Here is a 9790-nt window from a genome sequence, read left to right on the forward strand (position 1 = left end):
CTAAAAAAGGGTAAATGACATAGCCAAGGTTATAAAACTCATATATAATCAACCTGAGATTTGTACCCAGCACCTCTCTGGCTTTATTCATTTAATAAATATTGACTGTGCCTGGAACTCTGCACATTTCACAACATCAGGATTAGTAGTAGACAATCACAGAGAGGCTGAAAAGGTCAATTCAATTTAAAATGAAAGCAAAATCCTTCAAAAGCATAACTGGTAATGTAAAGGCTGAATCTCAGCCCATATTCCTCTTGCAGGCCCTCAGAACTGTCCTCAGGTCCCTAGAGCTGGACAGACTCTTTATGGTCATTTTCCAAAGCCCCCTTCTACAGTGTGGAGGTCCAGAATCAGAAGAGCAACGTGCCTGGCCACCACTGCAGAGACAGGCTAGAAGCCAGCCCCTTGTGGCCCATGCAGTGCGCCCCAGGTGGGCGCCCTTCCCTTCCTGGAAGCACTAACAACTCTCTACACCTGGGGCTACATAGCCACTGCTGGGATTACTCAGCTTTCTGCCCCAGCTGCTGCCTTTGTCACCATTAAGACCTCCACCAAAGGCAGAGTAGGGGAAAGGTTTTAAAAAAATAAAGTCATTCATTGTAGAAGTCTCCTTCTCTCAGGCCTTCCACAATACTTCTCCCTAGACCTTGGAGAAGAGGCAACTGCAACTAGAGGCTCTATCTACTGACAGAGCTCTTCCTGCTAGGGGTGGAGGGGAGGTGGCTACAGATCCAAGGAAAATTCCATTTTCTTTCTTGGTTGGTGACACTGACCATTCAAGACTCCTAATCCTGCCCTGTTTTCTAATTCTGGTAAAGTTTCCTAGTGTCACCAGTAAGAGAAACCGCTTTGTTTCATAAGTGGATTCTTGAAGGTTGATGCTTTTACCAGAACTAGAAGGGATCAGGGTAAAGTATAGGGTAGTAAAAGGGAAGAAAGGGTGACAAAAGCAATCTGGGAAGTATGGAGCCCAGAGAGACTCAGAGGACTAGGCCATGAGAGAACAGGGAGAAGAGAAAGTACTAAAAGCCAAAGTGCAGCCTCAGAGTTCTAAGAAGATGGGGATTATCTGCACCATAGACTAGGAAACCTGGCTTTCTTGCTGTACAGTCTCTTAACTGGTTGCCTTGTGAAAAATCCTCAAATCGTTCTGCCTTTTCTGGTGAAATGGGAGTAGACAAGGATTTATAAAATGCTCTATTATAGGCAGGTCGAAGGTGTTTTAACAATCCATAGAATGAATGGCCTCTGAGTCTGTAAAGGCATATTTTTTAAAAAAATACAGTAGCCAAATGTTTTCCTGTAAATGAAAAAACCAAAACCCCGAGAGAAACAAATTAACTTGAAGGTGTTTTCCAAGCCTAAAAGTAACCAAAGCCCCATAGGTTTGCTGAAGGAGACCGTCAAAACTCTAAACTGGTTTAGGTGAAATCCTCTCCAGGCATAGGTATCTCAGTGGAGGTCAGTTTCAGGCTGAGCTTTTTATGAAATCCGCCTAGAAAAGTAAGAGATGAAATGGAGCAAGGGAACTGGAACTTCCACAACTTTCTTTGCAGTGGAAGGTGACTCTCTTGACTTCTAGTATGGATTCCTTCCAGTCCCGTCCTCTTCCCCTTACAATACTCAATTTAATGTACTGAACTCCTCCTTCTGAATCTAGTGCAAAGTACAGTGGTGGACCCTCAGGGGATACCTGGATGGGGAGAGGCAGGGCGTGCATACAGGGCCAAGAATCCTTCGTTCCTGGGATTATAAGCACGGGAAGTCCAGCATCGCAAGCTTCCTGCCGCTACTGGGTATGGTGGTGCAAGGCACAGTCCCATCAGTGTCGATGTGAATGGAGTTGTGAAGTGCACAACTTGTCCAGCCCCTACGCCGAGGCCAGGCCTTTGTTCATGCAGTTGCCTAGTTCTGGTCCTTTGGCTACAAACTCAAAGCTGCCTGGCCAAGAGCCCTTTCACTCACTGTCCCTCTTTCTTCAACTTCTGTTATCCAAGACCCTCTATAGAATCATAGTGAGGGGGAGAGGAGTGCAGCTTCCCATACGGAAGGCGATATGTTTCCCTGACCCACGGATCTGGAAACTTCCGTGGGGCAGGGGCAACCGAGGGGTGCCACCTCTGCGGGCTCCCTGCAAGCTCCTCGGCCGTTCTGGGCAGGGCCGGGAGGGGCCACCAGGTGGCGCAGCCGGAGCCCAGCGCCCCAGCAGGTGCGGGCAGCGCGGAAAGTCCGCGAGTGGGAGTCCCGATGCCGGGCGTGGAGATGTGGGGGAGGAAGTCGGCGGGCGGGCGCCGGCTCCGCGAAGAGCTTCGGCCCTAGCAGATCTCACCGGACGAGCTCTGGCCTCGCGGCCGCCCCTCTACCACCCCTCAGCCCCAGCTCCCTCCCCGAAACCCCGGGCGCAGCGCGCCGGGCGTTCTGGACACGTCCGCCCGTCGCGCTGGTGTCCCGGGACTCCGGCCGACCCCGGCCCCCCTCCGCCCTCAACTTCCCTCGGGGTGTTGGGGCGACGGGCAGGGGCCTCTTTCCCAAGAAAGGACACAGGCGCTCCCGAGGGCCACGGCCGCCTCTACTCACCGCGGAGCCTCTCTCGCCTTGCCCAGGGTGCCCATGGCCGCGGCCCGCGCTCCCGGTGCCGGCTCACCTAGCGCGGCCGGGCGCGGCGCATCGCCCCCGCCACCACCGCCGCCGCCTGCCGGCTCTCTCCCCCCCGGGCCTCGTAGCCCCGGCGCCCGCCAGCCCTCGAGCCCGGCGAGCCCGACCGAGGTGCACCGCAGGCACAAACTTTGTGCGAGCGCGCCCCCTCTGCCTCGCGCGCGCGCTCACACCCGCCTGGCAACCACCTGACACGCTGATGCTGGCGGCTGCAGGAAACGTGCGGCGCCCCGCCGCTCTTCCCCGAAACCTGCCCCCTTTCCGCGGGTGCCCCGGCCTGCGCCTCGCGCGGTTCTCTCACCCCTGCCCGCCTTCGACCTCTCTTGGCCAAAGGGTTAAGTCTCAGGGGAGTTGGAGAGGAGCGGGCTCCCGGCTACCACGCCCGCGCCTTGCAGGGCACCTGTGCCCGTCGACCTCCACCTCAGCTCGGGAAACGGGCTGCGCCTAGCGGCTCCCATGGGACCCCCTTTCCCGCAGCCGACCCGCAGCTTCCACGCCTCTTCCTGCGGCCGCTGCTCGGAGCACTGCAGTGAGGACGCCTTCTCCCCTCCAGGGCCTCTCCTGTATATATCAGAGCGCGGAGTCCGGCAGGGGAAAGGAACGGAAAGACAGTTGTGAAGTTGCCTTAACCTGTGCCCTGGGGTCTCTAGGTAGCCGTCTGCAGGACTGGGCCGTAGACATGTGCCCTGTGCCCTGCGCCCTGCACCTTGGACGAGGGCTGCCTGTGTGGAGGTGCGCTCCACAGGCGTGATCCATATCTGGCCCAGACGCGGCCGCCTGGCGTCGGTGGGTGTAGGAGATGTGGGGACAACTTTCATACAACGTCAGTGCGCACAGAAGACCTGGCCAAGAGGGGCGGCCCATCCGCTGCTTGTCCAGGTGATAGTGCTGATAATCTCAATAGCTAATGATTGAGTGCGGTTGTGCTAAGTGCTTTCTATACATTACCTCATTTAATCCACTCTCCCTGATACAAAGAGATCACTGTTGTAAAGATGAGAAAATGAAGGTTTAGAGAATGCTATGCCTTAGATCATACAACTAATAAACAGCAGAGAGACCTCTGACTTGGACTGAGGTCTGTCTGACTCCCTGTAATCACTGCTGGACTGCCCTAATAACACACTCATTATCACGGCCACAGACCATAACTCTAGCCACAGTCATAGTTGTCTTCCTGGCCATAGTGTTCTGGACTTTAAAGCCTTCCTCTGTTTCATTTATATATTTCCTTATATTTATATGCTACCTTGTCCTTAAAACAGAATTCGAGATAGCTTACAAGAGCACATAACCTACAAAAAGAAGTGTGTGAAATGAAAAATGAGGCACACAAGATGGAGCCAAAAATGAACATCATTTGAAATAAATGCATCTCATAGAGTCAAATACCCTTGCTACAGGTGGGACCAAAATTTGTCTCCTGCATTTCTAGCAGTCAAGTTTAAAGAGAGGCCTTGTCTAAAGTTCAATTCCTATCACATGCAAGACCAAAAACAAAATTGCTCAAGAGAAGATCCCCCTTTCTTGATACTGAGACCAGCAAGAAATTTCTCCAGAGAATCCTCATGAACACTGGGTGATATAAAGAACCAAGTCCTCAGTCACAGCCACAGATGCAGAAGGGGCAGGTGAATGTCAGGAGAATATTAAATGATGACACTCTTTCTCACTCACTGGGTCTAAGGCTCAAACATTTTTAGAGTTATCTATTATACACCCTTCCTCATGTAAGCCCTACAACCTAAACAACCAAGTTGGCGGATGTCTGAGGATGGTAAAGATTTGTATCTATATATGAATCTATCTGACTATCTCCCAACAGTCCTAAGTTTGCAGTCTTAGACTTTGTTCACAGAGATCTTCTCTTATTACCAGGTGAACAATTACTTTTCACTGACCCCTCTACTACAGAATGAGCTCTTTACCCTACTTAAATCTATAATATTTACACTTTCAATTGCCACATAATATTCTGTGTCCCTGTCTTACCTCCACAGCTAAACTGTAAATTGTCCGAGGTCAAGAATCAGGTCTTATGCTTCTTTAGCTTCCACAGCTGCCAACTTGAGGCAGTACCTGTGGGACATTACTAATGAACTGCTGTGGATTTGATTTTGAAAAGCAAAATGTGCTGACCTCAAAGAAGAAAATAAGATCCTTCCTGATTATTTCCGGAGAAAGGGTTTCAGTTTTTCTTTGAAGTCCGCTGTCTATGGCAGGAGTGATAAGCTTACTGGCACTGTCCCCGGTGGCTTTCGTGGGATCCCCATCACAGGTTATCCGAGGCCTTCGGTATTTCTCTATTGCTTCACCCTTGAAAATAGAGCCCCTTCCATGCCATTCATTGCACTGAGTCTTTGGACAGCAAAATCTTTGTGTGTGGCAGGGGAATAATCCAGCCTTATACTGCATATGCATAGGTATGTATGCCAAATGGATGCCTTTATGTAAATGCATCATTATATTTATATGTAAATATACATATATGCATAATACTAAGTGCACATGTAGGCAGTTACACACATCTGCACACCTACAGTCCACATATATACAAATGGTTGAAACCAAGGTTATTAATTCATTCAATACATGAGTCTTGCTGAGTTTTCTAAAGAAAGAGGCCTACATATGCCCAGCGAGTGTTTTTCTCTTGGACTTTCTGAGTACTCTGCACTTCACTTGCATCTGATTCTGCTTCTGGGCCCCCTCGAGCTCTTTTTTGAGGTTTTCTGGCTACTCCTACCTGAGCAATAAGTCTTTTCCAAACATCTAAAAAATGAGAAGTTTGTCTATGTCTCTTTTAATCATCGGCCATGTGATTAGTCTGCCTGGTGTTATATGAGGCACCTCTGACCTCAAGAACAAACTTTTTTTTTTTTTCACAAAATACATCATTTAATATAACATTCTTATAAGGTAGCTAATGAGGATAATATTCGTGCTTTTAAAAAAATCATTATACTTTAAGTTCTGGGATACATGTGCAGAACGTGCAGGTTTGTAATATAGGTATACAAGTGCCACGGTGGTTTGCTGCACCCATCAACCCGTCATCTACATTAGGTATTTCTCCTAATGCTATCCCTCCCCTAGCTCCCACCCCCAGACAGGCCCCAGTGTGTGATGTTCCCCTCCCTGTATCCATGTGTTCTCATCGTTCAACTCCCACTTATGAGTGAGAACATGCGGTGTTTGGTTTTCCATTCCTGTGTTAGTTGGCTGAGAATGATGGTTTCCAGCTTCATCCATATCCCTGCAAAGGACATGAACTCATCCTTTTTTATGGCTGCATAGTATTCCGTGGTGTATATGTGCCACGTTTTCTTTATCCAGTCTATCATTGATGGGCATTCGGGTTGGTTCCAAGTCTTTACTATTGTGAACAGTGCTGCAGTAAACATACATGTGCATGTGTCTTTATAGTAGAATGATTTATAATCCGTTGGGTATATACCCAGTAATGGGATTGCTGCGCCAAATGGTATTTCTGGTTCTAGATCCTTGAGGAGTTGCCACACTGTCTTCCACAATGGTTGAACTAATTTACCCTCCCACCAACAGTGTAAAAGTGTTCCCATTTCTCCACATTCTCTCCAGCATCTGTTGTTTCCTGACTTTTTAATGATTGCCATTCTAACTGGCATGAGATGGTATCTCATTGTAGTTTTGATTTGCATTTCTCTAATGACTAGTGATGATGAGCTTTTTTTCATATGTTTGTTGGCCACATAAATGTCTTTTGAGAAGTGTCTGTTCATATCCTTCGCCCACTTTTTGATGGGGTTGTTTGTTTTTTCTTGTAAATTTGTTTAAGTTCTTTGTAGATTCTGGATATTAGCCCTTTGTCAGATGGGTAGATTGCAAACATTTTCTCCCATTCTGTAGGTTGCCTGTTCACTCTGATGATATTTTCTTTTGCTGTGCAGAAGCTCTTTAGTTTAGTTAGATCCCATTTGTCAATTTTGGCTTTTGTTGCCATTGCTTTTGGTGTTTTAGTCATGAAGTCTTTGCCCATGTCTATGTCCTGAATGCTATTGCCTAGGTTTTCCTCTAGGGTGTTTATGATTTTAGGTCTTATGTTTAAGCCTTTAATCCATCTCGAGTTGATTTTTGTACAAGGTATAAGAAAGGGGTCCAGTTTCAGTTTTCTTCATATGGCTAGCCAGTTTTCCCAACACCATTTATTAAATAGGGAGTCCTTTCCCCATTGTTTGTTTTTCTCAGGTTTCTCAAAGATCAGATGGTTGTAGATGTGTAGCATTATTTCTGAGGGCTCTGTTCTGTTCCATTGGTCTATATCTCTGTTTTGGTACTGGTACCATGCTGTTTTTTTTTTACTGTAGCCTTGTAGTATAGTTTGAAGTCAGGTAGTGTGATGCCTCCAGCTTTGTTCTTTTGGCTTAGGATTGTCTTGGCTATAAAGGCTCTTTTTTGCTTCCATATGAAATTTATAGCAGGTTTTTCTAATTCTGTGAAGAAAGTCAATGTTAGCTTGATGGGGATAGCATTGAATCTATAAATTACTTTGGGCAGTATGGCCATTTTCACAATATTGATTCTTCCTATCCATGAGCATGGAATGTTTTTCCATTTGTTTGTGTCCTGTCTTATTTCCTTGAGCAGTGGTTTGTAGTTCTCCTTGAAGAGGTCCTTCATATCCCTTGTAAGTTGTATTCCTAGGTATTTTATTCTCTTAGTAGCAATTGTGAATGGGAGTTTACTCATGATTTGGCTCTCTGTCTATTATTTGTGTATAGGAATGCTTGTGATTTTAGAACATTGATTTTGTATGCTGAGACTTTGCTGAAGTTGCTTATTAGCTTAAGGAGATTTTGGACTGAGATGATGGGGTTTTCTAAATATACAATTATGTCATCTGCAAACAGAGACAATTCAACTTCCTCTCTTCCTATTTGAATACGCTTTATTTCTTTCTCTTGCATGATTGCCCTGGCCAGAGCTTCCAATACTATGTTGAATAGGAGTGGTGAGAGAGGGCCTCCTTGTCTTGTGCTGATTTTCAAAGGGAATGCTTCCAGCTTTTGCCCATTCAGTATGATATTGGCTGTGGGTTTGTCATAAATTGCTCTTATTATTTTGAGATACATTCCATCAATACCTAGTTTATTGAGAGTTTTTAGCATGAAGGGGTGTTCAATTTTATTGAAGGCCTTTTCTGCATCTGTTGAGATAATCGTGTGGTTTTTGTCATTGGTTCTGTTTATGTGATGGATTACATTTATTGACTTGCATATGTTGAACCAGCCTTGCATCCCTAGGATGAAGCTGACTTGATCATGGTGGATAAGCTTTTTGATGTGCTGCTGGATTCAGTTTGCCAGTATTTTATTGAGGATTTTCATATCGATGTTCATCAGGGATATTGGCCTGAAATTTTCTTTTTTTGTTGTGTCTCTGCCAGGCTTTGGTATCAGGATGACACTGGCCTTATAAAATGAGATAGGGAGGATTCCCTCTTTTTCTATTGTTTGAAATAGTTTCAGAAGGAATGGTACCAGCTCCTCTTTGTACCTCTGGTAGAATTTGGCTGTGAATCCAACTGGTCCTGGGCTTTTGTTTTGATTGGTAGCTTATTAATTACTGCCTCAATTTCAGAACTTGTTATTGGTCTATTCAGGGATTTGACTTCTTCCTGGTTTAGTCTTGGGAGGGTGTATGTGTCCAGGAATTTATCCATTTCTTCTAGTTTGTTTGCATAGAAGTATTTATAGTATTCTCTGATGGTAGTTTGTATTTCTGTGGTATCAGTGGTGATATCCCCTTTATCATTTTTATTGTGTCTGTTTGATTCTTCTCTTTTTCTTCTTTATTAGTCTGGCTAGTGGGCTATCTATTTTGTTAATCTTTTCAAAAAACTACCTCCTGGATTCATTGATTTTTTGAAGGTTTTTTTTGTGTGTGTCTGTATCTCCTTCAGTTCTCCTCTGATCTTTGTTGTGACTTGTCTTCAGCTAGCTTTTTAATTTGTTTACTCTTGCTTTTCTAGTTCTTTTAATTGTGATGTTATGGTGTCAATATTAGATCTTTCCTCCTTTCTGATGTGGGCATTTAGTGCTATAAATTTTCCTCTTAACATTGCTTTAGCTGTGTCCCAGACATTCTGGTATGTTATGTCTTTGTTCTTATTGGTTTCGAAGAACTTATTTATTTCTGCCTTCATTTTTTTATTTACCCAGTAGTCATTCAGGAGCAAGTTGTTCAGTTTCCATGTAGTTGTGCGGTTTTGAGTGACTTTCTTAATCCTGAGTTCTAATTTGATTGCACTGTGGTCCAAGAGACCGTTTGTTATGATTTCCATTATTTTGCATTTGGTGAGGAGTGTTTTACTTCTAATTATGTGGTCAATTTTAGAATAAGTGTGATGTGGTGCTGAGAAGAATGTATATTCTGTTGATTTGGGGTGGAGAGTTCTGTAGATGTCTATTAGGTCTGCTTGGTCCAGAGCTGAGTTCAAGTCCTGAATACCCTTGTTCATTTTCTGTCTCGTTGATCGGTCTAATATTGACAGTGGGGTGTTAAAGTCTCCCAGTATTATTGTGTGGGAATCTAAGTCTCTTTGTAGGTCTCTAAGAACTTGCTTTATGAATCTGGGTGCTCCTGTATTTGGTGCATATGTATTTACGATTTAGATCTTCTTGTTGCATTGATCCCTTTACCATTATGTAATGTCTTTCTTTGTCTTTTTTGATCTTTGTTGGTTGCAAGTCTGTTTTATCAGAGACTAGGATTGCAAGCCCTGCTTTTTTATGCTTTCCATTTGCTTTGTAAATATTCCTCCATCCCTTTATTTTGAGTCTATGTGTGTCTTTGCATGTGAGATGGGTCTCCTGAATACAGCACACCAATGAGTCTTGACTCTTTATCCAGTTTGCCAGTGTGTATCTTTTAATTGGGGCATTTAGCCCGTTTACATGTAAGGTTAATATTGTTATTGTGAATTTGATCCTGCCATTATGATGCTAGCTGGTTATTTTGCCCATTAGTTTATGCAGTTTCTTCATAGTGTCGATGGTCTTTACAATTTGGTATATTTTTGCAGTGGCTGGTACTGGTTTTTCCTTTCCAGGAGCTCTTGTAAGTCAGGCCTGGTGGTGACAAAATCTCTCAG

General features: G+C 44.9%; 1 protein-coding gene across 3 annotated transcripts in view, besides 9 other annotated features; it reads right to left on the reverse strand.

Moving 5' to 3' along the window:
- Nucleotides 1–2801, reverse strand: part of RASGRP1 (RAS guanyl releasing protein 1) — a 76712-nt gene extending 73911 nt beyond the window's left edge. For all 3 annotated transcript variants that reach the window (NM_001306086.2, NM_001128602.2, NM_005739.4), the window contains exon 1: nt 2581–2801. In NM_001306086.2, the coding sequence (NP_001293015.1) occupies nt 2581–2615 (35 nt within the window). In that variant the 5' untranslated portion in view covers nt 2616–2801. The remainder of the gene's footprint in view (nt 1–2580) is intronic.
- Nucleotides 193–322: an enhancer, noted in NCBI's record as "active region_9207". NCBI's record gives its function as "activates an Ori minimal core promoter by ATAC-STARR-seq in GM12878 lymphoblastoid cells {active_cell/tissue: GM12878}" and the evidence as "EXISTENCE:reporter gene assay evidence [ECO:0000049][PMID:35858748]".
- Nucleotides 383–482: an enhancer, noted in NCBI's record as "active region_9208". NCBI's record gives its function as "activates an Ori minimal core promoter by ATAC-STARR-seq in GM12878 lymphoblastoid cells {active_cell/tissue: GM12878}" and the evidence as "EXISTENCE:reporter gene assay evidence [ECO:0000049][PMID:35858748]".
- Nucleotides 2098–2297: a silencer, noted in NCBI's record as "silent region_6305". NCBI's record gives its function as "represses an Ori minimal core promoter by ATAC-STARR-seq in GM12878 lymphoblastoid cells {active_cell/tissue: GM12878}" and the evidence as "EXISTENCE:reporter gene assay evidence [ECO:0000049][PMID:35858748]".
- Nucleotides 2308–2527: a silencer, noted in NCBI's record as "silent region_6306". NCBI's record gives its function as "represses an Ori minimal core promoter by ATAC-STARR-seq in GM12878 lymphoblastoid cells {active_cell/tissue: GM12878}" and the evidence as "EXISTENCE:reporter gene assay evidence [ECO:0000049][PMID:35858748]".
- Nucleotides 2558–2797: a silencer, noted in NCBI's record as "silent region_6307". NCBI's record gives its function as "represses an Ori minimal core promoter by ATAC-STARR-seq in GM12878 lymphoblastoid cells {active_cell/tissue: GM12878}" and the evidence as "EXISTENCE:reporter gene assay evidence [ECO:0000049][PMID:35858748]".
- Nucleotides 2865–3376: an enhancer, noted in NCBI's record as "H3K4me1 hESC enhancer chr15:38857079-38857590 (GRCh37/hg19 assembly coordinates)". NCBI's record gives its function as "activates a minimal SCP1, AML or CMV promoter by ChIP-STARR-seq in primed H9 embryonic stem cells {active_cell/tissue: H9 hESC(primed)}" and the evidence as "EXISTENCE:reporter gene assay evidence [ECO:0000049][PMID:30033119]".
- Nucleotides 2865–3407: a biological region, named in NCBI's record as "H3K4me1 hESC enhancer GRCh37_chr15:38857079-38857590".
- Nucleotides 2958–3007: a silencer, noted in NCBI's record as "silent region_6308". NCBI's record gives its function as "represses an Ori minimal core promoter by ATAC-STARR-seq in GM12878 lymphoblastoid cells {active_cell/tissue: GM12878}" and the evidence as "EXISTENCE:reporter gene assay evidence [ECO:0000049][PMID:35858748]".
- Nucleotides 3218–3407: an enhancer, noted in NCBI's record as "active region_9209". NCBI's record gives its function as "activates an Ori minimal core promoter by ATAC-STARR-seq in GM12878 lymphoblastoid cells {active_cell/tissue: GM12878}" and the evidence as "EXISTENCE:reporter gene assay evidence [ECO:0000049][PMID:35858748]".

Source organism: Homo sapiens, chromosome 15, assembly GCF_000001405.40.
Source record: "Homo sapiens chromosome 15, GRCh38.p14 Primary Assembly".
NCBI lineage: Eukaryota > Metazoa > Chordata > Mammalia > Primates > Hominidae > Homo > Homo sapiens.